This window comes from Homo sapiens, chromosome 1 (assembly GCF_000001405.40).
Source record: "Homo sapiens chromosome 1, GRCh38.p14 Primary Assembly".
NCBI lineage: Eukaryota > Metazoa > Chordata > Mammalia > Primates > Hominidae > Homo > Homo sapiens.
Window position 1 is genome coordinate 77,942,327 of NC_000001.11, and position 27,860 is coordinate 77,970,186.

At 34.7% G+C, this 27,860-nt stretch overlaps 2 protein-coding genes across 38 annotated transcripts in view, besides 2 other annotated features; one reads left to right on the top strand and one right to left on the bottom strand.

Moving 5' to 3' along the window:
* NEXN (nexilin F-actin binding protein) overlaps positions 1 to 1,569 on the top strand; it is a 55,272-nt gene extending 53,703 nt beyond the window's left edge. For 5 of the 7 annotated variants that reach the window (XM_005271322.5, XM_005271325.5, XM_005271323.5 and 2 more), the window contains 2 exons: positions 135 to 492; positions 574 to 1,569. In XM_005271322.5, coding sequence (XP_005271379.1) covers positions 135 to 492; positions 574 to 587 — 372 coding nt within the window. In that variant the 3' untranslated portion in view covers positions 588 to 1,569. Of the gene's footprint in view, positions 1 to 134 lie in introns of all 7 variants that reach the window. The other 2 variants (NM_144573.4, NM_001172309.2) reach the window with 1 other exon arrangement.
* Positions 1,729 to 27,860, bottom strand: part of FUBP1 (far upstream element binding protein 1) — a 35,447-nt gene continuing 9,315 nt past the window's right edge. For 2 of the 31 annotated variants that reach the window (XM_047433487.1, NM_001376056.1), the window contains 20 exons: positions 27,599 to 27,689; positions 25,839 to 25,877; positions 25,301 to 25,340; positions 24,723 to 24,772; positions 24,558 to 24,629; positions 24,368 to 24,425; positions 22,743 to 22,905; positions 22,544 to 22,642; positions 22,320 to 22,421; positions 21,928 to 22,030; positions 21,736 to 21,836; positions 21,248 to 21,389; positions 20,444 to 20,604; positions 18,018 to 18,169; positions 17,858 to 17,937; positions 14,246 to 14,374; positions 12,929 to 13,003; positions 6,829 to 6,974; positions 4,204 to 4,250; positions 1,729 to 3,316 (listed from right to left, as the gene is read on the bottom strand). In XM_047433487.1, coding sequence (XP_047289443.1) covers positions 3,286 to 3,316; positions 4,204 to 4,250; positions 6,829 to 6,974; positions 12,929 to 13,003; positions 14,246 to 14,374; positions 17,858 to 17,937; positions 18,018 to 18,169; positions 20,444 to 20,604; positions 21,248 to 21,389; positions 21,736 to 21,836; positions 21,928 to 22,030; positions 22,320 to 22,421; positions 22,544 to 22,642; positions 22,743 to 22,905; positions 24,368 to 24,425; positions 24,558 to 24,629; positions 24,723 to 24,772; positions 25,301 to 25,340; positions 25,839 to 25,877; positions 27,599 to 27,689 — 1,881 coding nt within the window. In that variant the 3' untranslated portion in view covers positions 1,729 to 3,285. Of the gene's footprint in view, positions 6,449 to 6,828; positions 6,975 to 12,928; positions 13,004 to 14,245; positions 14,375 to 17,857; positions 17,938 to 18,017; positions 18,170 to 20,443; positions 20,605 to 21,247; positions 21,390 to 21,735; positions 21,837 to 21,927; positions 22,031 to 22,319; positions 22,422 to 22,543; positions 22,643 to 22,742; positions 22,906 to 24,367; positions 24,426 to 24,557; positions 24,630 to 24,722; positions 24,776 to 25,300; positions 25,341 to 25,838; positions 25,878 to 26,695; positions 26,759 to 27,598; positions 27,690 to 27,860 lie in introns of all 31 variants that reach the window. The other 29 variants (XM_047433489.1, NM_001376055.1, XM_047433488.1 and 26 more) reach the window with 25 other exon arrangements.
* Positions 8,802 to 8,861: a silencer, noted in NCBI's record as "silent region_1006". NCBI's record gives its function as "represses an Ori minimal core promoter by ATAC-STARR-seq in GM12878 lymphoblastoid cells {active_cell/tissue: GM12878}" and the evidence as "EXISTENCE:reporter gene assay evidence [ECO:0000049][PMID:35858748]".
* Positions 23,290 to 23,492: a silencer, noted in NCBI's record as "fragment chr1:78431300-78431502 (GRCh37/hg19 assembly coordinates)". NCBI's record gives its function as "represses an EF-1alpha promoter that drives an FKBP-Casp9 reporter gene in an ReSE screen in HepG2 liver carcinoma cells {active_cell/tissue: HepG2}" and the evidence as "EXISTENCE:reporter gene assay evidence [ECO:0000049][PMID:32094911]".

Consider the following 27,860-nt stretch of genomic DNA (forward strand, 5'->3'; position numbering starts at 1 on the left):
GTTAAGTACACTTTGTAGTAGGCACACTTGTATGTTCTTTACTTAAAAAAAAAAATTTCATTTCAAAATTGTTACTAAATCGCTGCCCTGAAAATACTATAAATGCCAACCTGAATGCATTTATTTTAATACAGAAAAGAGAAGAGGAGGAGGAGGAAGAAGGTAGCATCATGAATGGCTCCACTGCTGAAGATGAAGAGCAAACCAGATCAGGAGCTCCATGGTTCAAGAAGCCTCTTAAAAACACATCAGTTGTAGACAGTGAGCCAGTCAGATTTACGGTTAAAGTAACAGGAGAACCCAAACCAGAAATTACATGGTGGTTTGAAGGAGAAATACTGCAGGATGGAGAAGACTATCAATATATTGAAAGGGGAGAAACTTACTGCCTTTACTTACCAGAAACTTTCCCAGAAGATGGAGGAGAGTATATGTGTAAAGCAGTCAACAATAAAGGATCTGCAGCTAGTACCTGTATTCTTACCATTGAAAGTAAGAATTAATCACTCTTTTTATCTTTTATTCTATTAATTTTTTTTTCCTTAAAATCACTTTTCTTCTTCTCTTTTTTAGCTGATGACTACTAGCTCCCCTCCCCTCTCCCTGGAACTTTCTCTTTCACTCCAACTTTCTTACTACATCCATCTTTTCTGTGGCGGGGCCAAAAAAGGAAACCAGGAGTGCCACTATGCTGACTTCTTATTCCTTTTCATAACAGTCTTCAAAGCACAGCTCATCTAAAGAATGCCTACTTCTTTTCCAAATAAGCATCAGATTTATCGCCTATTATGCAGTAACAGTCAATAAAATGTACTTATGGGGGGGAATTACTCAATTATTCTATCAGAACCTATTATAAAGACTGTATTTCCCATAGACGTTTACAGCAACTATGTTTAAAAAACAAAAACAAAAAAAAAACACACAAACCTAAGTAGAATACATTATTTTGCATGAAGGAATGTCATTTCTGAGCTTTTTACACCTAAAATTAGGCTGAAATAGCTGAGATAATTAATTTGGAACCTATCAATTTGAGTGGACTTTTTCTTTAGTAGTACACCATTTTGGTTGTTGTAGTTTCAAAGTCTTTCTGAAGCAGATATATTGGGATTGGAGCGGGGTGGGGAAAACTGTCACTCCTTTCAGAGGAAAAGGGGAGGAGCATGGAGAAAAACAAAAATTAAAGGACTTAAAGAATGGCTATACAGTGTTGAGTGTTGAGGATATTAAACATGTTATTTTTCAAACGTATGTAATATATATTAAATTTATAAAGCAAATTTATGTTGTGATCTTGCCTGAACAAATTATATTTTAATGAAAAAACTTTCTATTAATAGTTCACGCAAGAGAAAACACTTTCAACATAGTCGAAGGCTTCAAGATCTAAGTGTATCAGACTTAGGGAAAAAGTGGCACAACCTTCGATTTAAAATTCTAGTCTTTAAAATGAGTTTGTAAATAATTAGCTATTACGTTCTATTAAGTTGTTTTATATTTTAATTTTCTGGAAGACAATTTTATTTTACAACGTGAACCCAAATAAAGTAACTTCTGTATTTAAAAGTCTTTCTGTATTTTAAGACTTGTGCAACCAGATGTTACCCTTTTATCATTAAAACTTTTTAAAATCATTTTTTCTCACAGTAAACATAAAAAAAAACCCAGTCAAGTAGAAAATTTTACCATGTAATATATGTATAAAAAACACAAAGCACTCCTTTATAATAGTCATCAATGTACATTTATTGAGGAAACCATAATGAATACAAAATTACAGCAATCATGTGACCTTTTACATACAATGTCATTAAAGCAAACTCTAAACCACAGTTGTAAAGTATTCAATTTACCTCAAGTCCAAGCTGCATCTCCCTAAGACACTGTTCCCATCACAGTAGCCATTTTAAGCCAATCTTCTTTTTACACACGGGTAGTTTCTGTAGAGAACATTTTTCTCAGGACGAAAATGCATCGAGCATGCATAAGAAAATATATATATATATATGCGCAAATACATTTAAGAGTTTCTATAGGGGTATCACTGAAGAAAATAAAACCCTGGGATTTATTTGCTTATTAAAAGCACCAATTTAAAAAAATCCCTCAAAAGCTTATATTGTGGCAAGAAAAATGAAGTCACTAACTCAACAAAAAATAAGGTAACTTTCAGAGCCAAAATTATCTTTAATTAGGTATTGTTATAATGCATTTTAAAGTGAGGCAGAGTTTGCAGAAAATAAAAACAAGACATCCTCACTGATTAGTAAACTCTACATCATTATTCTACACAACAGATAACTTTCTAAGTACAGCTGATTTTACTGGCAGAGTATTCAAACAAATAAAATGCTATCACTTCTGAATGACTCCCCTTTCCCTCTGAAAGTACTCTGCTATTCCTACCCAAACCCACCCTTATGAATTAACTACCAAGATAATTTGTTTAAAAGATATATTTTACAATGTTTATAAACAACTAGTATCAAATTACTAGTTTTAGTATTAAAACCATTTTTTATATTAAAAAATAAAACTATACTTCTCATTTCTAAAAGAAACATCAAACCATAGAATTCTAAGTATCACCACACTAAGCTGTCTTAAAAAAAACTAAAAACATTGTCAAATTTTTGTTTAAGTGCTAAATAAGTCAGTTCAGTTTCAATCTAAACTATACATTGTTTCTAACACTAATATCCAATGCATTCAAATCAACTGGCTCACCTTTTCTGCTTTCCATTTATTTCAGACTTAAGATCAGCGTCATTTAAAATAATGCTTATAGTATCAGTGAAGGCTTATGGTAATGAATAAAAGAATTCTCATGAGACAGAAACAATGCCCCAATATCTATTATCATCAATCTATCTGTATTTTTTTTTATAAAAATGCAATCTACAACTAACCAAAACTCAACAGGCTCTCAAGTTTCAATGAGCCCCTTTATATTATCAATTGTACATACCTATCATTGACTATTAAAACATAACATACACATAAATGTGGTGTAGTAACTATGTAACTTAAGAAATTTAACAGTTCATGGAACATTTAAGATCAAGTGAATAGCACTTTAAAATGAAAAGTGATCAAAAGCAGGTACATTACACCCTATACCATATTATGTATGGGAATACATTTCATATTTCTCAATTATGATTTGCCAATTTTACCTTCTACATTGAGCCCTTCTATGGTCCATGCTCATCGGCTCACCAATGGCATACACTCAAAGGATTCCTCTTTATGGGTAACTATCTCAGGACCTGATTTTATGAGCTATGATTTGGTGCTTGCAGCATCTTCAGCACTGTGTGTGAAAATGAAGGCAGTATTTTTGAATATTTTTCTTTGTTGCAGAGATAAGCAGGAGTTTTAAAAGGATCAGCACATTTTAGAAATCGAATAAACAAAACTGATAAGATGCTGCTTTCATACATTCAACTTAACTCAAAATATGTACCAGTTAAAATCATCTATAAAAACACACAAACATTTTAAACTGGCAAAAAAATTAAATGCAGCGTCAGTTATTAAAATATTATTAAATCAGAAAAATACTGATTGCTACAGATTATGAAAGGTTATTTGCTATACAGTTAACATTTCACTGATGCACATGCCTTTTATCAAAACATACTGCCTTATAACTTTTTCCTTCTTCAGCATATAACTTTTGTCTAAGAAAAAAATCATAATAAAATTCTAACCCATAATATCCTTACTGAATTATTATAGTTTAAGAATAAGAAAAAAATAAAGAAATTATAATTTTGGAGGGCAAAGAAATTTTCTGTCCATCATATAAAACAGATTGTGAAGGCTGTTGAAGTTTCTAAACAAGTGATTTCCTAAATCTTGAAAACTGTGTAATTGTCCTTTCTTAATATTAACACTTCTATATTTGGGGAAAAAATACAAAAAGATTTGGATGTAGTTCAATTACTGCAGCAATCTACTCATCATTTTCTTGTCTTAATAAAAAAAAAAAAGTAAAATAAAAAACATTACCCAGAAATGTAAACAGTTGCTTTAACAACTTACAGACTTTCCACTAAGATGGTAGCATAAAATAACAAAATACATTTTGGGGAAGCAGTAGCAGATTGCCTTTGAATACACAACCACAAAAACCTCACAGGGACAACATTAATGTATTGAAATATTTATTTATATATGTCCTTAGGTTGTGCTTACCTGGTGCTTTTTGCAGCAGAACCTAAGGTGGAAGGTCTGGGAAGGCACTGTGAAGTATAAATAATTGCACTGTTTGCAATTAATAAAGATTTTAAACCTTAAATGAATCAAAATCAACAGCCTCCAATTTGTGAATTATGATACTGAATTCAACTGAACTACTTCTTCAGTTCAATTAATAAATGCACCACTTTCCTAAAAGGTCATCTATAAAACAGTATCATGCAAAATACTGCAATTGTTCACGTCAATACCCTACTCTTAAAGATAACAAATAGCTAACTCCTTAACTATTAAACTTCATACTAGAACTATATATGCAGATCTAAATAAGGGTAAGGGAAGTCACTCTAGGTTATATAAAACAATCAAAAACATTTCAAAATATCTACAATGAACTGTACTGCTATTTCCATCCTGTAGGTAATCTCAACATTTATGTCCTTGTACCTCTTCCTTTAAAGTATATTCAAAACAACAAATGGTGCTCTCCACCAATGACAAAATATATATTTATGAAATGTGTTAAAATTGCTACATTGCTCATTATTTGCAAACTGAAATCCCCTTCTGTCTGATACATTTCAAGACTTTCATATTAAATATAGAAGATATGCATATTTTACACTGAAAAACAATATTTTAGGAGCACCAGTGAATAATACTATTCAACTTTGTTAAGTATCAGTTTTCTTTAGCTATAGCTAAAGCATATAAAAAATACTTACCCATTAAGCTCACTTTAAAAAAAATACAGAACTATGTATTATTCTATGTTAAATTAAGAGGCAGTTATGGTTTTCCAAGATATCAGCACTGTATTCCAACATAATATTCACACAACGTATGGCATTTGCATTATGTGGAACATTGACAAAAAGATACTGTTGCAGTTCATCAATTTGTCATTCTGATGTACTTACAGTGCAATGCTCCTTGAAGGAACACAATCAAGGATGATACACAGCACAGTCCTCCTCACCCCTACAGAGCTAGTTCTATACTGGCTGGATCAAACCTGCACTTCAACAGACAATGGCAAGACAGACTGTATTTGCATGTAGTCTAATATATTAATATGCAAAGAGCCAACAAATATGCAAAGAGTAAAACAATGGATTTCAACAAAATATCAGAACTTCAGCATGAGTGTTAAAGAGTAATAAAATGACTTCAAGTACATAAAAAAATTAAGTTGATTCAATGATTGGACTTGTGCATTTACAAAACAAAGCTTATCTATACTGCATAAAGAAAAAAAAAAAGCTTGAACGTTTCCATACCCCATTTATGTTTCAATGGCAGATGCAATGTAGCTATACTTTTTGCACACTATTCACTTTTCTATCCTAAATTTAGAAAGAAACACACTAACATTATATACATTGAAAGAGTTGCTTCACATGGAAAAAAACTGTTCTTATTAGACTACTCATATTCACTATCTGAAAACTGTTTAAAATTAGTTATGCCGAAACAGTCTTGGAAATCAAGTATTATCAAATTAAGAACAGAAAGGTTAACTGTTATAGCAGCAGTACAGGTCTGAAACAGTGGTCATGTATAAAAGGAAATTTCACTGTTAATGCAATGGAAGTATGCCAAAAGATCATTGTACACACATGCAGTTTTTAATCAAACAGAAGGAAAAAAAATGAAGATATCAGGATTACTTGTGCTGAAAGAGCCAATACAATAAATGGAAAAGATCCTCCAATCTACCACTATACTGCAAGGGGGGAAAAACATGCCAGTGTTTAAAAACTCAATATTTCATGGGGAAAGCTTATATATTTGTGTATATGTATCTTAATTTATCATTGCTAAGAAATTATGAATCCTTTAAATACCCACATATCCAACTTACCGACACAGGAGGTTTCATATCATTTATTGTAAAGCACAAAACAGGCATTTTAAAAGTGAAAGTATACATTGAAAAAGTACATTTATATCACAAAGCATCAACCACATAATTGCAAATACATTTGCTGGAATGTGTACATCTACACTAAATACTAAAAACAAACCAATTTTCATTTCTACACAGAAATATTAACCTCCTATCAGTAGTGATAGATATTTTGTACATTTTCAAAAAAAAAAAAAAAAAAGGAAACACTATTTTAAACCAAAAACAAAATTAAGATCTTCATCAAGTCGTCTGCATCCATATATTTAACAAAGGTTTTTTTCCCCCACACAATGAAGCAAATACTGTATTGTCCACTTCTTATTATTGGCCCTGTGCAGAAGAGATACATAAGAAATACACAAAAAGTTAAAGAAAATCCTTGAAATGGAGCTAATTCAGGAGTGAATCCTTTAAGAAAGAAAAAGTGGTTAATATAAATGGTGGTGGCTTCTTGCATGATTTGCAAATCCCTGGGGGAAGAAAATTTATTTTTAAAATCAAAGGCATTGCAGAAATATTCACCACTCAGATGCTGGAAAGCATTATAAAAAACAAAAAAACCCAAACAATACACCGTAGTACTTCATTTAAATAGTTATTATACTTTGCCAGATAAAAATTTAAAAGGCAAACACTCCCAAACAGACAAACAGTAAACATGCAGAAAACAGACTGGAGTAGAAATCAACAAATTAGCAATTACATTATACCTGAGGTGCTGGAGGATGCTGTGGCATTCCCTGGGGACTTGTCTGGGCATAATAGGCTGCTTGTTGTCTATAATACTCAGCCCAGGCTGCACTATAATCTGGCTGACCACCTGGAGGAGCCCCAGTCGGAGCAGGAACTGCCTGACCTTTGAAAAAAAAGAACTTTGTTGCTGTAACCACAATTATAAGCCCAACATCTCATTTCTAATAAAAACAATACCTTGCTTCTTGTAATATTTCTCCCAAGCCTTTGAATAATCTTGTGTTTGCCCTTGTTGACCAAAAAAAAAAACCCCTAAACTTTAATATAAAATTACATCCACTGTAAGTACAGGTTATAAGACAAAAGCACAGAGGGTCAGAATTACTCCTGTTTTATTTAAAATATTCATTTAGTAGTGTCAGGAAACTACTCTGCAATTAGAAAAAAAAAAAGAACGCTCTTTTCTTTTTGCCTTATAATTAATCGTTAACTTTTAGTTCTAGAGCGTCATTATTAGTAAAAAAACAGAATCAACCCCAAATCCACACTGCTTTAGCTAAGGAAGGTAAAGATTTAGGCATAATCTTAATTCGATTCCAGAATTACAAAAAGAACATTTTTGAAAAACTTTAAGCCCACTTAAAGGCAATGATTTAAAGACTGTATTAAGACCTAGCCAAGACTTTTTCCTGATTAGTAACCTATAAAGTGTATGTACACACACACATAATAAGATGTTAAAAGTATTAATAATTTATTCCAATTACAACACAATGTTATTAAAAGTAACCTGACAAGGAATAAAGAACAAGATCAATGAAAACACATAAAACTCAGCTTTCACAATCAGGTCTTTTTCCAAATAAGGTGACTTTGCTGAATTAAGAGATTAAAGAAATATAGCAATGAAATGCAACGCATGAATCTTGAATGTACTCTGAATTAAACAAAACACACAGACGACAAAAGACATATTCCTGACAACTATGGAAATTTAAATATAGTCTGTATGTTTGTGATAATATTGAGGGTATTTATTTTCAGACAGGGTCTCACTCTGCCACCCAGGCTGGAGTGCAGCGGTGCAATCATGGCTCACTGCAGCCTCAACCTCCCAGGGCTCAGGTGATCCTCCCACCTCAGCCTCTAGAGTAGCTGGGACTACAGGCCCACCATGCCTAGCTGACATTTTTCTCTTTTTTTGTAGAGATGGGGTTTTGCCATGTTGTCCAGGCTGGTCCTGAACTCCTGGACTCAAGTGATCCACCTGCCTTGGCCTCCCAAAGTCCTGGGATTACAGGCGTCAACCACTGTGCCCAGACATTGAGTTTATTTAGAGCAAACTGTCTTGTCTGCAACTTACTTTGAAATGGTTCATACACAAAAAACATACATATAAAGCGCATACAGCAAACTTTTAAAAAATGATGAAGCTGAGTGTCTGATGCCTTATTTCCCCAATTTCTGAAGGTATATAATTTTCTAAATAAAAAATTGAGAAGAGAGAGTATATGTTCTCCTATTCAGTTTCTTTACTTAAGCACTATTTTATTTCGTTTGTAACTCGCTTGGCTTTGTGAAATAACTACCATAGACAAAAATACTGGAGCATGGACACACAGGAAGCTCTTTTTATGTTTGTAGGATGCTGCCAACAAGACCAATTTCATAGTTTCAGAAAGCAGTCTATCACCATTGTAAAACAGGTCACAGACTCAAAGCAACTGAGTGAAAGAATTTAAGATTTATGATTCTTTAAAAATGCCTGAAAAAAACCCTCTTTTCTTGGGTAACAGAGAACTCTCATATACTATTAAAAATTCTCATATTTTCCTGTCTTCTATAAATAACTGTTCTCAAAGAGGAAGTAAGTTTAACATTTTCCTCTTACAAGACACAATTCAAGCAAATCTGAAACAGGTTTCAATATCTAAAAAACTGGTGTGACAATAGCAATAAAACCACACATTGTCTCTTACAGGGTGCACACTTGAAACCAAACCTGATCAAGGTAGCAATCAATAGTCTTCAGGTTTTAAACCCCATTGTAAGAGTTACTCATTTTAGAGGCAAATTAACAATGTAAAATGGTAGAAACAGGCATATGCATCAAGAAAATTCATTGATGTTCCCTTAAAAAACTACAACCTCTGCAAACTCCTATATCCCTGTGGAAAGCTAATAGTAAACACTTTAGACTTTAAGAAAAACCAAATTCTTGGTAAATAAGTTGGTAATATTTGACACTCCAATCTTAAAAGATGTTCAAGAAAAGCTTATTTCACTCTTCCAATCTAAAGGGCAAATGTGATTTATTTTGCCCAGTTGGAAGTAGAGAAAGAACTCTTTCCCTGCCCCTTCAGACATGTACTGCCTTACCTTGCGCTCCCCTTATTCCTCTCTTTAGTTACTGGATTTTGTTTTGAGACAGGGTCTTGCTCTGTCACCTAGGCCAGAACACAGTGGCAGTGGTGTGATCATGGCTTAGTTACTGTTTGATGCCAGATAGTTGAGTTTATACTTCAGTAGAACATTATCTAATATTTATTATAGTTTTATAATTATAATGTATAAAGTTTAGCCTTAAATTTCTTTCATCCCAAAGATAAAAGACTTGCTCTAGAGTTAGCTTGCAAGATTCTATTAGAGCCTAAGAGCCAGCCTTGCATGAATAGATTTTCACACTCAGTTGTCTTCCCATATAACTGTACCTTTCCCACAAGTCCTCACTCTACCCTCCTTTAGGCTTAAGGTACCAGATTCTTCAGGGTTCAGAGTCTACCACATCAGTCCTTATCATAATGGCCTTCCTCAAGTCAAACTTTTCCCAAATGTCTTCACTTCTCCAAACAAGAATTACTCCTTTCTATTTTGAAACCCTGTTTGTTCTCTTAAGGGTCTTAAAAAAATCCCTGTATTCTAGCTTTAAAAACACCCATCTTTACTGCTGTTCCTTATAAGCCTCTGAAATCTTATCAAGATTTTCTCTACTTGGGAGGCTGAGGCAGAAGAATTGCTTCAACCTGGGAGGTGGATGCTGCAAGTGAGCCGAGATCATGCCACTGCACTTCAGCCTGGGCGACAGGGAAAGGCTCCATCTCAAAAAAATAAAATAAAAAAAAATAAAATAAAAATTTATCCTCTTAGTTTGGTGTTATCCTTGGGAACTTAGAATTGTTTTGAAATATAAACCTAATTTTGGGAAACTTAACCCACACCTGTTTTCAATAGTTTTTTTTTTTTTTCAGTAAATAAGCAAATAATGACAAATTAAAATCTATGAATGGAGTTTTCTGTTCTTAACAAGAAAAACTTAAATTAGGCTCCAAAAGCTGTGAAAGCCTGCCTAGTTTGGCAAAAGGGGCACTAGGATGGGGAATCAGGAAATCTGAAGTCCTAGCATCATACCCCTGCCACTGGAAAAGTCAACAACAGTTGGCTTTGAGATAAAGATATCTCCCTATTATTCCCTTTCTCCTTCCATTTAAGAAATGTGAAGACTGAACCAAGTTTTATGCTTTAAGGTTTCTTATTTGTGGTAAAAAGATCCTGATGACAGGTAAGGTACCTAGAAGAAATTAAAGCAGTTAAGCAACTAATCATTTACAAAAAGAACTTTTATAGAAAAAGACAAATTGACTCCGTATGATGATGACAAATGCTCATCAAGCACCTGACTAAATTACCTAGCATTATTTCCTTTAAGATATACACATGTGGCCAGGCGCAGTGGCTCACACCTGTAATCCCAACACTTTGCGAGGCTGAGGCGGGTGGATCACCTGAGGTCAGGAGTTCGAGACCAGCCTGGCCAACATGGTGAAACTCTGTCTCTACTAAAAATACAAAAATTAGCTGGGTGTGGTTGGGCGCCTGTAATCCCAGCTACTTGGGAAGTTGAGGCAGGAGAATAGCTTGAACCCAGGAAGCAGAGGTTGCACTGAGACGAAATCGCACCATTGCTTGGGGAGTAAGACCAAGACTCCGTCTTAAAAAAAACAACAACAACGAGATATGCATGTGAAGGACTTGCCCAACTAATCTGTTTTGCTCATAAAATTAACAGGTGAGGCTGGGTGCAGTGGCTCACACCCATAATCCCAACACTTTGGAAGGCTGAGGCAGGTGGATCACCTGAGGTCAGGAGTTTGAGACCAGCTTGGCCAACATGATGAAAGCCCGTATCTACTAAATATACAAAAAATCAGCCGGATGTGGTAGCAGGCGCCTGTAATCCCAGCTACTTGGGAGTATGAGGCCGGAGAATCGCTTGAACCTGGGAGGCGGAGGTTGCAGTGAGCTGAGATTGCGCCACCGCACTCCAGCCTGGGCGAGAGTGAGACTCCCTCTCAAATAAATAAATAAATAAAATTAACAAGTGATTATTGTGGTACTACAGAACAACAACAGAAAAGGTGGGGTAAGGAGGTTCTTTAGTCATACAGCATTATTATTTAACATCTAATTATTATTTAATTATTTCTATGCCATGTTTTCCTACAGAGGATTCAAGACAGTATAGTATAGTATCTCTAACTGGCAGGGAAATGGTAAAAAAAAATAAAAAATTAAAGACAAGGTAAAATGTCTTCCCTTAACAATAAAAATTAGAATTCCACCCACCCACTCATTTTGAGTAAAACATAAAAAGTAAAACAAAAAAGACTAAACAGTAAATGTATTAATGGCCATATTACAAATAATCAATATGGTAAAATAAAGCACAGAAGCCAAACTCATTCCTCCATAATTACCTAAATCCATTAACAAGCCTTTATTTTTACCTACTTAATAATAACTAGGGACCCTATCTAGGGGACATTACCCATTGAGAAAATAGAAGTTGAAGTTAGTGATTTTTAACCCAAACACGTGACCAGGTCTCACTATGATGCCAAGGCTGGCCTCAATCTCCTGTGTTCAAGGAATCCTTCCACCTTAGCCTCCCAAGCAGCTGGGACTACAAGTGTGTGCCACCGCACGTGGCTCATGCTCAAGTCTTTTAAAATGGTGATGCTATTTAATTAAAGTTAAGTTGATTACAGGTCCTGACCACAATGCTGTCAGGGCATGATTATTAATAGCATCCCTATTCATTCTAAAAAGGATCCCAGTTCAGAAAATAAATTATGTAACCAACCTTAATCAGAGTATGCTGTTTTTAAGTTAAAAGTTTCTTTTTGCCGAATTGTAGCTACTGTAGATCTGCCTAAGCTAGGTCACAAAAACATAATCTGTTAAAGCCTCAGAAAGAGACGGAACATGACTCTCCTAGGAAGCCATTCTAAGAGGAAAAACAATTTTTCTTTAAAAAGAAACCAGTTGTGCAAAACAACTTTATCATCAGGTATATGTAATTTTACATCTAGAAGATTAAAATCATCACCTTTCTGGAAATTTTTCTTTCTGTGGAGAATGAGAAACATTCTTTGGCAAAGAAAACATTGAAAATCCCAAGTAGACCGTTCTCTTATGACAAAACTCTACCACCTATAGGTTCTTTTTCTGCTAGTGAAGGATAACCAAGCTTACCAATTTAGCTTTCATTTGTGACATCTAGCTGTGGTATGTAATAATTTTAAATGACTAAGAGCAAAAGCAGCTGAAATATAGTGATTTGTCCAGAAGTATAGTATCAGGTTCCAAATGGTTCCTAAAGAGACAAATTTGGGAGACAAGCTTGGGACTCAGACCCTCTTGGAAGCCAGATTCTGGTTCCATCACTTGGTTACTTTCCGTCACTGCAGATTACTTCTTACCTGCTTATCTTGCAGCAAAAATAATGGTATCACACACAATTTTCGCCTGACACATTAAAATTTAACCTTATGTCATTTAGACTGATAATATATATAACTGTCATTGTCAAAAGTATAGTAATGTTAATATTGTATGTACCAGTAAGGACATTTCTAGTTTCAATTAATAACTGGTTGACAAATGCAATTAGAAAAAAAAATTTCCTTGCCATATAACCACAAATTTAAAAACTATAATTTACAACTGTCTTGATATGTTTACAAGTCCAGTGATTTTATTCAATTATTCTCTTCCTGAAGAGAATAATTTGTTTCAATTTAATTAAGTATGTATTTTCAAGAAATGTATAAAACATACCCATTTTCTTGTAGTACTCTTCCCAAGCCTTGGTATAATCAACCTGTCCAGCTGGGGCTGGATTCTGCTGATCTCCTTGTTCAAGCAAAACAAAACAAAAAACAGAATTAAAGTTTTTAAAAGGCAATTTTGGCCGTTTCCTTGGGTGCAGGAGCTGGCAGGGGCCTGCAATGTGACAGTGAGGGTAGGAGGGAAGTACTATGTGGTGGTGGCATCCCTAACAGTGCCAAAGATAGAAGGTACTGGGGGTACAGAGGTGGTGGACAGAAAAGAAAACCAACCTGTTTGAAGACTGGTTATGTTGAACATATAAGTAAATGCATGTCAAATAAGGAAATACACTGAGGACACCAGGTTTCTCACGTTTGTAAACAAGTACAAAAAAGGAAAAGGCTTGAAAACCCCAAAATGCTGAAACGGATGTGGTGATATGAACATAGTTTTTAAAAATATATACATATATCGATGTTTATGTGTTTTTTGGTGTGTGTATGTAGGTATGCATGTATGTAAATATATTTCCTAGTTCTGCCTGTTGAAAGAAGCTAGAAGCAATTACACCTCAGTAGCAACAAGCATACTCAAGTCTCGTTTCTAACTACCATACTCTACTAAAAGGAATAAGAGCTCCTTGAAGAAATAGCTGACTCGAGGGCTGGAGCCCAGAAAGCACAAAATAACAATCTTACTGTGCCAGACAGTATGGAAGTGCTTAAAAGAATGACAGGTATTTCAAAAGGATATAGGCACCACCCTGAATATACTCCCTGACTGGCCAAATCCAGGATAATCTGATTATCAAAATTATAAAAATACTTTAAAAATATAACCTACTGCAAAAATCAGAAATCCATAATGATATAAAGAACTTAATATATCAATGTTGACTTACTGATTTGGAGGGCTGTATGATGGTTATGTATTTTTGAAGAAGTACCCAACAGGACATCATGTCTACAGTTTAGTCTTCAGTGATTTCTTTCAGAACTAATTATGCTGGATATAATTAGCTTCCTTCAGAACTAATTATAATGGATATTTAAAATAAATACAGATACACATGTATGATATAGATGGTAACAGAGTAAACAAGGGAATAAAACATTAACAGCTGGGCTATCTGGGTGCTCCGGGTATTCTTCTTACAACTTTTATGAAAGTTTGAAACTATTTCAAAGTAACAATTTAAAAAAGGAAAAGTCTGCTTAAATTATAATTAAATAATGTCAGAAATTTTAGGTATTATACAGTGATGTACTTCATATATAATTCCAAGCACAACTTTTGGCTTTCACATACAATAAGTTCTGTAGTTACCTTGTCCATTAGTTTGAGTTGTAGTTGGTGCACCTGCAGGGGCTGCTGGTGGTGGCTGTGCTTGCTGTTGATAATAGTGAGCGTAATAAGCAGCCCAAGCTGCTGAATTTGGATCCGTTCCTGCCTTAGCTAAAATAAATGAAAGTTCAAGGTTTGCATGTGAAGTCTGTAATTCTCTCTCACACACACACACACCACCCCCCCGCCCAGCTCTCTGGCAAATATACAGCCCCCAAAATTAACTAGAACATTAAAAAAAGTATATGAAAACTTAAATTTTCTATTATTTTTGTTGTCACCATCAGCTTTTATTAAAGAAAACCAAGTCTCAGAGACTAAGTGACTTTCCTAGGTTAAAAACTACTGAGTGGCATAACTGGGATATGAATAAAGGTCTTTTGGCTCCAAATCCAATGCTCTGTCTCAAACCATCCTGTGCCCTTGTTTTTTTCTAAATTGGTTTCGCCTCAAGCACAAACAGCTCTATCTAGAAGATGACTAAAGAAAAACATTTCTAGGGACTAACCTGTATAAGAAAGAAAATTATTTTAGAACAATGAACTTTGTCCTTATTTTCAATGAAGAGAAAATATAAAAATCTTAAAAAAGATTAGCCACATTTCATCCTATTTCACATTGAATGTTATAAACTTGATGTCATCCTACTTGAAATTCTTCATTCTCTGCAATCTTCAGGATGTTCAAAGCTTAAGTACAGCCTATCATTCAACATCTTTAACAGCCTGAAGCCCCTGGCTTATCCTTTCCATTTCAGCCTCATCTCTCCCTTTGGTTGTATCTCTTCAACACCCAAGCTCCAGCCACAACACAGTGCTTGTACTTTTCAGAAATCACTATGCCCGTGTCTCGGCTTTTAGCTATGTTGTCTCCTCTACACTTGACTGACCCTCACTCATCTCCCACATCAACTGAAGTGCGAACAGTTTGAGACCTTTCAATCTTCTAGAAACCAGAAAAAACTTGATTGTCTTTTATACTAGGAATACCATACAATTAAAACTTTTAAATTTTCTATTATACCTTCATTCTGAACAGTAGCAATTCTCAGCTGCTTAATAAAGGTTAGTCAAGTTTGAGAAAAATGAGCAAGAATTTCTAGAAAAAGAAAATTGCAAGGTAATATAATTGTAAGGTGTTATTAGGACACCTGCCAAACTTTTCTCAATTGCCCAATGTACTGCTTTTTTATGTTGGATGTTTACATATCTCAATAGTGTCATTATCTGTATTTTTTTTTTTTTTTTGAGATGAAGTGTCTCACTCTGTTGCCCAGGCTGGAGGGCAGTGGAGCAATTCTCAAGGAGTTCTCCTGTCTCAGCCTCCTAAGTAGCTGGGATTACAGACACCTGCCACCACATCCAGCTAATTTTTGTATTTTTAGTAGAGACAGGGTTTCGCCATGTTTGCCAGGCTGGTCTCCAACTCCTGACCTCAAGTGATCCGCCCGCCTCAGCCTTCCGAAGTGCTAGCGTCACAGGTTTTAGCCATGGCGTCTGGCCATTATCTGTATATTAATCAAGAAATCTAGGTATTTCACTTTACACTATGCCTGGATAGAGAATTTGAGATAAAACAGACTTTAGGAAGTGGTATTTCTACTCCCAAATGTGAAAACCATACCAAAAAACCAGTCTCACAGTTACAAATAACTAGTATGTACTAAGAATTTACTAAATATTCACTCAACCCGATTCATTCATTTATTAATTTATAGATAAGAAAACAGAGGCTTAGAGGAGTTCAAAAACTTGCTTGACATCTCACAATTAGTAAACTGTAGGACTAGGACTGATATAGGTTTATTTGACTCTGAAGTCTAAATTCTTGACCACTACATAAATCCATTAACAGACCACTCTTTTTTTAAAGAAACATTTTAGTTCATATAATATTAAAACAGTATGCTATTCTAAGTCTAATATAAGCAATATCCACCCCCAGGGACCCAGTAACCCTTTGATAAATCTGAGTGGGGCCAACCAGCTGGTTTTAGTTAAATGGGTTACTTCTTGCCCAAAGGCCATGCTGCAACCACATTCACTGACCAGCTCTTACAGTAGTGACTTCACTACTACTCCAAGTGAGAAATTCAACTTGTGATACAAAGACCACTTCCACTTCTTATTCCCATCATTTTTCCTCAATCATGCTAACCACCCAGTAGTGCTCAAAAATACAATCCTGGCAGATCCAAGTTACCCAATATGAATCTGCCTTTTAACCTACTCAAACTCTTCAATCCCATTAATTATACCATCCCAATCAGCCAACAAGAGGGAAAGAAAAGCCCTTTCATTCTCCAAAAATTAGTTGTTAAGAGTATTATATCCTGTACCCTGTGAGCCCCTTCCATCAGTGTTGCTTACGCTGGGAGTGCATTCTTTTGCTATAGAACACAACCCCAACTTTGCACACCTATATCCTAGCACAACTCAAGTCATGCTTGGTAACTGTCATGCTGTGTCATCATATTCCAAACAGCACACTTCCTATGAAGTTAATCAAGCAATTTCATTTACATAAATTACTTCAAGTTTTTTTGGGATAAATGTATTATGTGTAGAAAGTATTCCATAATTGAGTATATTTTCCTTGAAACTACACGAGTGAAAGAGGCCTAAAAGGTAGGTAGCAGGTGAGAAAAAAGGATCATAAATAAATGTTAATTGGTTTCAAAGAATGACTCTTTGACCAAGATGGAAAGCAAACTACAGGGTATGGAAAGATGCCAGAATATAATAGGATAAAAATAAATCTGAATATAGAAAATAATTAAACGTATTTGGGCTTTAGCATGCAGTTATTAAATACAGGCCTGATTTTTACTCACATGAAGTTGTCATATGAGGAGTACTAGAACAGATATCTTATTTGACAATTTGGAAGTTTAATGCCCCAATACTTAACACTCTGTTGGACTGTTATATATATATATTTATATAGACTGTTACATATATACATAATTTTTTAAGAGATGGGATCCCATTCTGTTGCCCAGGGGAGTGCAATGGTGTGCCCACAGCTCAATACAATCTAGAACTTCTAGGCTCAAGCAATCCTCCCACCTCAGCCTCAAGTACAGGCACATACCACCCTGCCCGGCTAATTTAAAACAAATTTTTTTAGAGATGGGTCTTGCCATATTGCCCAGGCTGGTCTCAAGCCTCAGCCTCAGACTTCTGAATAGGTGGGATTACAGACGTGAGCCTCAGTGCCCAGCCCCTATCACATACTTTTCTAAATAAGTAAAAACTATTTTTCCACAGATAATGTCACAATGAACATACTACACATTTGACAGCACTGGTATCCAAAACCTATGACACTGTGCTCTTTCCTGCAGCTTTTAGCTTTTATCATTCTACTGTATCAACTCATAAGCCAAAGGCAAGTAGAAAGAAATTCCATAAAAGCAGAGCTCATATTCATGTCAGTCCTATACACTGGGGTAGAGGCAGTGCCTAACACTGTTGAAAGAGTAAAGTGAGTGAAGGTGATGCATACAAATGTAGAATCAACACTAGAAAATTTAATAATGTAACAGGAGTGGAAAATAATACAGATAACACACAAATAATAAGCATCTTCTACCTGGATCAGGAGGAGCCTGCTGCTGCCAGTGTGGATATGCATTTCCCCATCCCTGGGGAGCATATGGGGCTGGAGGACCACTGAAAAGAAAAATCAGCATAAAAAACAGTCCCAAAACTAGAATCTTTGGGGAAAGCCCAGAACTAAACCCAATACTTACTGAGGAGCCGGGCCTGGTGGTCCAGGATTATAAGGTGCAGGGTTGTATGGTCCCATTGGAGTTCCAGGCCCTGGAGGCCCAGGAGGTCCATGGGGGCCTGGGACACCATGGGGCCCATGGGGTACAGGTGGCCCTAAAGGATTTACTGGGCCCTACAAAAAAAAGGATGACATAGAAAAATCAGAAAAACACAGTAATGGTTAAACAACTCTACGGCCAAATAATCATCCATTTCTACCCTCTTATAGTCACAAATAACAAATTTTAGGTTTTCCTTCCTTTCCTCATTCATTTTGCAAAAACTATTTCATCTGCCATAATAATGAGACATGTAAAATTCACTAAAATCAATAGCAGTAGCAATTAAATGCAATTTAAATTAAATTAAATTTAAATTAGCAATTAAATTTCCTTTAGCTTGTTTGCGGACAGCAGTAGTTCCCTTTCCTTTTATCATTCTTACTTTTACTATCTTTTTCCATCTTACTCACAGAAATCAGGTCCTTATCTTCAGCTCTTCTCTCTATATCTACTTGCCTAACATGAGACAACCGTCTTGACAATATATTCCCAAACCGCTTGGGTCCTGTATCATCGTCTTCTGAACATTTCACTGATAACGTTAATAGCTAGTTGTTTCACTATGAAACTAAAATCCACCTCACAACCTATTTCTGTCACTAAAATCCCATTCAGATCAATAATTTATATCCTTTTTGGCCTTTCATGTATCATGATGTTTAATAGCACAAAAATTCCCTTTTTAATTCCTTCAATAAATCAGGATATTTTATATCCTTATCATGCATGCATGCCACATCATTAATAACGCTTAACTGATTTCTGTTTGGTTAAGCCAACAAAGACATTACACTTAACTGTCCTAAAATGCTCCTTCTGAGTAGTTAACACAACCAGGCGACATGTTGGACAAAATGCTAACACTACATTTTGTTGTAAATTTCTCACTGCAAAATAGGGAAACTAAACTTCATGACCTTTAAAGTTCTTTTTATTAACTTGTCTCTTTAAATCTCCAATTGCTGTCATCTCTCACTTACTATCCATGACCTATTCTTTCCAAGTAGTAAAAATAATACTGAAAAAGTAGCAACATTTTTTAGGGTTATGTGGCAGGCATTCTTTTAAGTGACACACACATGAACATTCATTTAATCCCTACAACTCTATGAAGTAGATACCATTATCTTCATTTTACAGGAGGAAACCAAGGCACAGAAAAGCCTGAGTAACTTCTCCAAGGTCACAGAACCAGTAAATGATTCACAGAATTCTGAACTGAGGCAACCCGACTACAGAGTCCATGCTCTTAATCACCACACCAAATTGCTTCTCCAAAACAATCTATCTTGTTTTTCCATGAATCCAACAGAAATCCTGACGCATGCATGTTAGGCTAATACTGTAAAATAAAAAACCAAGATGAGTGCTATTCATTTTTTTGCCATGGCATCAACCTCTATCATTACTCTACAAACATCCTCTTCATTTTTTGAACCATTAAACTATCCATACAACAGAACTCACAATGTTTGTGTACATTTTGTAAGACGTTCCTTAAGCGTCTTTTGTACATCTATTTTTGTCTTCCCAAGTTGACAGAAACAGTGTCAACCTTGTTTTGCACGCACCCCATTCACAGCATGGCAAACACCAAAAATAATTTTTCCTAGGCAATTCTAATAATTTAAGATGCCCCCTGCACACTTTGTGTTAAAAACTCCAGTAAGACACTGTCTGCCTCACTTACAAAAAAGCAGTCAAAGCGTTTCATACTTTTTTGTTCTAACAGAAAACTTTCCTGGAGGAAAAATTTCCAAATTTGTCTGTGCACCAGAATCACCCAAACATCTATGTAAAATTAGATGCTGGGCCCTATCCCAGACATTTTGAGTCAGGTCTGTCTCTGTATATTATGTGTAGGAGTGGGAAGCACCCAAATAGTCTACATTTTAATACCCCCAGATGATCTGTGAGCCAGTCCAAAACCTAGGATTTATGAATTTCTACTGTAGAGTGGCAGATGTATCTGATTTATCTTGTTTGCCTCGCTGGGGTTCAGTAGAGTAAAATCTTAATAAATAATGAATTCCCGTTAACTATGTCCTTCAAGTATGTTCCACAATCCTACACCAACACTAATATCATGCCTACAGGTAACACTACCCTCCTCTTATCTAGCCACACCCAAATGTAAGGTTGTTCTCAAAACCTGTAACTACACATTTAATTAGGTTATTTTCATTGCTGGAAAATCTTCACGTTGTATCTATTATACATATCATGAAATCTATAAATGCTGACTAGTAATGATACATTTTCCTTTGATGTATTTGAATAAACGTCTTAATTTAACTACAGTCTAAGGGTCTACACTAAAAATTAAAAGTTTAAAGTATACTCACACCAATCTTTTCTTCTATGAGTTGCCGAGCATAGTCTATCTGTTGTGGAGTGCCACGAATTGTAAATAACTTCATATTAGGATCTGCATTTGGTGGAGGATTTCTCTGAAGTTCTATTCTTGCACCAGACTGCTGGCTTATGCTTTTTATGGTTTCACCTCCTAAAATCAAAAGACAGTAATTTCTCTAAAGGTTTCAAGGGTGTACTAGGAGCTATTTAGAAGAAAATGGTCACAATTAAATGGGCCATTAAAAATATGGTTTGGTCAGTATCCTAATTGACAATATTGTATTAAGATTTTTCATTTAATATTCTACACTGAAAATCAAATTTTAGGAAGCATTTCATGCTTCTCTTAAAATACATTTACATTTACTTAGTATGTTTAAACATAAACTTAATGTGATTATAATAAAATATTTGAATTAACTGCTTTTAAAAGCAGTGTAAATATAAACTAATACACTTATAAACATTCAAATTTTTAAAATATGAGTCGGGAAAAACCAAAATGCACAAACAAAAACACTCAAACCACTTTTTGGGTCAAAAGACATTTCTTATGCTAATAATTATCTCTTAGTTCGCTTTCTCTAGAAGCTAGTAAGATTAAAATCCTGCTCTTTCTCTAAATATACATGAGATCCCTCATTTATGTTTTACTTGTTACATATTAACATAAGAATTCTTTTCTACTAAAATACGGTCAGAGAAAAAGCATTGCCACTTGTTTACGACAGCAACAGAAAGTGTCCAGAAAAATGAATAATGTGTTAAAACATTAAGAGTTTAAAATACATTGCCTTTTCCTATTATTAATCCAGTTTTCCCAGTTGGCACAATAAAATTAAATTCCTGTAGTCCACCAGGTGGTCCCATGTTCCAGTTGCCTTGACCTCTACCTCTTCCTCGACCACCAGGTCCAGGTCCACCAGGATTACCAGCCTATAGAGAGGGAAAGACAAGAACGAAGAGTCAGCACAGAAATACTTTTGTTTCATGATAAAATTATTAAGTTTATTTTTCCCAGCTCTCATATACCTGAATCAGAAATGTAGAGATGAACTGGCCCTAATAAGTAATAACATTTTTTAAAATACAAGAGTAAATAAGGTAGCACTTAAGGTAGTAGTTCTTCCTGCTCCAAGATCTTTACCTTAAAGCAATTTAAACTTTCTCCATTAATAAAGCATCATCAAGCAGACTCTGATATAGAGGTAACTTCAGATTTCATGAAGGAAAATACTTTTCCATAAAAACAAAAAATGAAAATGTTAACTTTCTATCAAACCTGAACACTTCGAAGAAGGTCTGTAATAATTTCTGCAGCATGTTGACATCGGTCTGGAGGTCCTGTTATTTGTGCTATCCTTTCGGGTGTTGTCCCATCATCTTCAAAACAAAGAAACAAAATTAATTAAACAATAAATGTATGTCAAAACTCACTGCTGCCAACACTTACAAGATTATTATATGTACTCACCTGGCTTAAACTGAATGCGAACACCAGCATCATTTTGTATTTTTTTGATCATCTCTCCATTTCTTCCTATTACAATGCCAACAGCAAATCTTGGAATGGGGACCTTATGTAAAAAAGACTAAGTATTAAGAAAGCTAGCTTCTCAGGGTTTAAAGTAAAAAAAAGTATTTTAAAAAAGCGCCATTTCCTGAAAATCTGCCTCAAATCATAAAAGTACATATAATTCTATATTTATAGTAAATAGGGTAACAAGATATATAGAATTCTGTATTCTAAAGTATAAAGGTGAAATAAAAGGATAACAATGTTAGAGCTACTTAACACAAAACAGAAAACACTATTATATTTATGAATTAGCATACAACCATTTCTGAATGGGTATTTTTACTTACATCTATCCCTTCATTTCCTCCTATTCTTGACCCATACTCATTCCGAACTTCTCTGAAACCGCCTTGATCACGAATTAACTCTAACACCATTTCCTTGGCTTGCTAAAGCAGAAAAAGTTAGCTAATTTAGAAAGCATGTCTCAAAACATTTTAATTATTCATGCATATTTTGCCCAACCCCATTCAACCCACTCTTTCTTTATAAAGTATAAAGTTAAGTTTACTTGAACTTTATATGGGTCTCCTGTAATCCTAAGAGGTTTGTCAGCACCAGTGTTCTGCGGCCCGTCTTGAATCATAACCATTTTAACTCCAGCCCGTTCCTGTTACAATCATAGAAATAATATATATTAACAAAAGGAAGTGGACAAAAATGGGCATCAAAACAGATCAAAAGTAGCCATTTCACAAAAATAACAATACCTGAAGCTGTTTAATAGTTTCTCCCCCTTTTCCAATGACTAATCCTGCCTTGCTAGCTGGAATCATGATTTCTTGAACTGCATTTCCCGGTCCATCGCCATGATGGAAGCCAGGAGCTGGTCTTCCTTTTTCAACAATCTGGTCCAGTAACCGTTTTGCTGACCTGTTAACAAATTAATATTTAAATAGTAAGCTGTAGCATACCCAAGCTTATTCAAATAGAGAAATATAAAACAATATAACCAAGTACTCCTCCTATCCCAGTTCAGGATTAGGTGCCTTGATGCTAACTTTAACAATGCTTTTACTTTTAACTGAAAGAAAATGCCATCAAGGGTCAAAGATTGAGAGATTATGCAAAAAAATTTTCTAGATATACAATTTTTATTTTTAAGAATAGTCCAAAATTTCCAAGAAAGAACTCTAATGCTAAAGTTATCTCAGAATTAAACTGATTCTTCCAAGAACTAAATGATTTATTTACATTTTTAAACTACCATTTTGCTTACTCATATGCTACAATTATTCATTCAACAAATATTTAAATATCAACTATGTGCAGGTGCTATTCTAGGTAATGGGGTAATAGCACTCAAAGAAACAGGGTTCCTGCTAGAGTGGCTTCATTTCATTAAATAAGTAAAAATAACATGTCAAATGAATAACACATTATTTGGAAAGTGCCATAAAGAAAATCAGGCTGGGGGAAGTGGCTCACGCCTGTAATCCCAGGACTTTGGGAGGCCGAGGTGGGTGGATCACGAGGTCAAGAGATTGAGACCATCCCGGCCAACATGGTGAAACCCTGTCTCTACTAAAAAAATACAAAAATTAGCTGGGTGTGGTGGCATGCACCGGTAGTCCCAGCTACTCGGGAGGCGGAGGTTGCAGTGAGCCGAGATCGTGCCCCTGCACTCCAGCCTGGCAACAGAGCGAGACTTCGTCTCAAAAAAAAGAAAAGAAAAAACCTAGTAATGAGGGAGAACTAACAATGCAGAAGAAAGTACAACTGCAAGCTGAACCTTCAGTAGGAAGAAAGGGCTGGCTTTAGGCACTCGAACACAAAAGGAAAGCAATTACCTGAGTACTATGTGAACAGAGGAAAAATGAAGGCTGGTAGGTTTAGTGGTAGGGAAAAAGAAAAGCTTCTTATCATTTGCTTCCATTTTCTCAGTAAATAAGCTTAAGTGGGAGAGCGTGGGGTTAGATGCTGAAGATTTGGAGGTGGGGAAATACAGTATTAAAGAGCCTGGGAGAGGAGTGGAAAAGTGAATGGAACTAGGGAAATGCAGGCAACACAACAGTCCACTTGAGCTTAATGTCTGAGTTTTAAGTGTCACCAGTCGACCTGACTGTGCATTCTTCTCCAGGCTACACGTGGCTTTACAAGTAGAGACTGGAGTAGATATGGAGTTGTTTTAACCATTTTCTGTGTTTAATGATTCAGATGATGAACCCCACCTGAGAAAGGCATGAGGCATAAACTTCAAAGGAGTTGGAGGACTTTGAGGGAAGGTGGCAGCGAAACCACAGTGTAAAATAAAGCAGTAACAAAGAGAAGAGACAAAATTCAAAGAGTTCTGCTGTTGTTACTTAAGTAGATTTTTAAGATTTTTCAAACTTACTGGACAGATTCAGGTGTTCCAGTTAACATACAGGACCTTTCTGGAAGGCCACCACTGTCTACAATTTAAAACAAACAGATAACTTCAGGTCAAAAGATTAAAAGTAGCATTATTGTTACTAGAAGGCTTAAAAAAAAAAAAAAGCTAGTTTTCTAGTCACACTGAAAATACCATGAGAATGTAACATTACCAGGAGCTATCTGTATTTTGCATCCAGATTCCTGTTGTATGCGTGAGATCTGTTCACCTCCTCTGCCAATTACTAGTTAGAAAAAAAAAAATTTTTTTTTTGGTTGAAAGATTCTAAAGTATGTTTTGATCATGTTTTCAAAACTTTAAAAATCAAGTTACTTACTGAATCCAACCATTCCATCTGGAACTTTGTATTCTTCTGTCATTACAGATCTGCTAAGAAATAACAGAAAGCACCATTTTCCTTCAATGAAAGATACTTTGTTTACAAATAAAAGATAATCTATTAATAAAAATGGAAGTCTAATGTCTCCCAATGGCTTAAACTAAGGTTCTAGGCTCAGACTCATGTCAAAAAATATGATCTTATTACTTGAGTAGTTAAATTAAGAAATTTAAGATGACACATCAAGTGAAGAAGGGATGATGAATGGAACAGTCTGAAGGCATTAACTGTAAAGAAGTTGAAGTGGAGTTTAGAGAATGTCATCTTAACAGTTACTCTAATTCACCCCTGTTCTTCTAAAATGTGGTTAATTCCACCTATCTCTCCAAATCACAAATTTTTCTCACTCAAAAGAAAAATCATCACTTTATGGTACCTTCCCAAGGGGAGTGATATGAACTAGGTACACCAAAAAATACACAGACACATATTCAATATACACCAATGTGGTTGTGTTTTTACATACAGCTCAACCAAAACTTGCAGAGTACTTTTTGAAAATCTTGTGACTATACCTTTGCTGCTGATGCATCGGTGGTAACTGTGTTCCAAAAGCTATCAAAAAATTAAATAAAAATAAAACAAAAATTCAAAATTTAAATTTACTTATATATTTAACAACACAATCACATCAAACATTCAAAAATCTCTCCCTAATGCACAGACAACACCTTGAAGAGAGTCAAATTTTTTACACAATATTTATATTGGCATTGACAGGGGCAAGAGAGCCAATGAAAGGGAAGACATTATATTAGCAATGGCACAGAACAAAATAATTTCCTTTTTCAAGTTGTACAAGTATAGATCAAGAATTGGAGTTGTTAAATATGTAAAATAATTCAGCAACCAATCTTTACATATACCCGGCCACAATTAATGGGACAGATTGTAAAATAGGAGAAAAAGGTATATATTTACAAAGAAATTCAGGCTAGCTGATCCAAAATACTCATAAACCAACTAACTTCAAAGATACCCAATAATATGAACAAAATCTTAACATTGAAATTGTTACTTTAGCTTTTGACCCAGTTTAAAAGGAATACTTACAGTCATTTTGAGGAGCAACTTTCTTAGCATCTGGTTGATCTGCAAAATTAAGTGTCTTTTAATTTTTTGCCAATTAAGTACAAAGCTTCTCCCCTCCCAAACAAGAATAAATAACAATATAAACATTTATTGAAATATCTGAAGGTATGGTTTATCATTTGAACCAAAACTGCCAAAATTCAACCCCAACTCAGTAATCTAAAAAAGAAACGATACTTCATTCTCTTCACGTTCAAAAGATGCACAGACATTAAAATAGTTATCTGATTCTTAAGAAATCACTGACCTTAATGTATGTTAAGCACATTAGAATGACACAAGACAACGTACTTTAGGTCCATTACTAGCAAAATATCACATGCTAAAGGCTAATGATGCTTCCACCTCAGGAACTGAAGACTGGGGGGAGAAAAGCCTATCAAACTACAAAAATCTGACATATTAAAGTGTATCTGACAGTGACCACAAAGCTATGCCCAAAAAAAAAAAAACAAAAAAACCCCCCACAACATTACAAGGCAATCTCAACCTAAACTGTTCTATTATTTATAAACAAACATTTCACTGCATAAAACTTTAGCAAAAAAATAAAATCTCAAAGCAACTACATGACTACCTTCACCTAAATCCATTACACAGATGAATACAATGCATACCTTGGAACAGACAACCTATAGCTCAAAGTACTACATTCTCCTCCCCCCTTCAAACTTAAATGATTAAACATCAGAATGTTGTGCAGCAAAAATAAAATATGCGCAGACACATAATCCAAGAAATATTTGTGTCCATTTAAGAATCCACTGGTTTATTTCACGTTTACATACTGAACACAGGTAATAAATAAAAATTCCTGCCTTTAAAAGGAGAGGGCATTCCCTCCCAGTGTGTTGTACTGCTCGGACTTGTCCAAGAGCCATCTACACATAAAATAAAAAGAATACATTACATACAACATCTGAAGCATCATTAGCTCATTTTTTTTCTACATTAAAAACCTCACTATAAATATGAAAGACACTTAAATAAAAGGAAACCAAGTTCTCCTGGTCAAAAGCTACAAATACATTCTATAGCCTCAGTGAGAATCCTCCCTTTAAAAAAAAGGGTAAAAAGAAAATGTATCAAAACTCATATATCAAACCTAAAACAAAAAATACATGCAGACTTCTAAGTTCAGAAGCTTCAACGATTACGATTTTTAAAAATACATAGCACTGTAAATCCACTGTTTTAATCCACAGGTTTAAAGCTAAACGTGAAACACAAAAGTACTGAAAGTAAAGAACATTAAAAAAAAAATGGTATAACCTGCAACACACTAGAGTAGCAAACTATAGGAATTTCAACCTTTAAGGTGCAATTGGAAATAGAAAAATGACGAAAATACAGCATATTAAAATCCATTCACGTATGAGTAAAACCAGTGAAGTGTCTTCTAAGCAATTTATATGTTTTTTAATATTATTAACAAGACGTCTGTGCAAACTTTCAATCTGGCACAATCCTAAAAGAGGGAAAATAAATTGTTTTCTATTAAGACAAAACTTCCTTTTTTAAAAAATTTTTTAAAAAATTTCTTTCAAATTTTACTTACCTTGTCTAGTTTTCTTTCCCCCCTTTTAGGCCAATATACAGCTTACAATTTTAACAACCTTATAATAAAAGTTAATATCTCAATAAAATAACAGAAAAATACCGAGAATCACTTCAACTAAACACTCTGAAAAACAATTTAAAATACTTAGAGTATAACTTACCTCCATCTTCTAAAGGTCTTTTTTGTCCCCCATAACCATAGTCATTTGAATTCAGTGATGTCCCTGCATCACCTCCAATTTTTGCTGCAATCTAAAAAAAAAAAAGAAAAATACCATCATAAACTATTATATACTATTCATTACTAAATTACCCCCATTTACTTCCTGATACATGTATATGTGAAATATTTAGTATCACATAAGAAAATTTACTTGAAAAATTAAAATTATAGTTCAATTTATTGCTACCATTAATACTTCA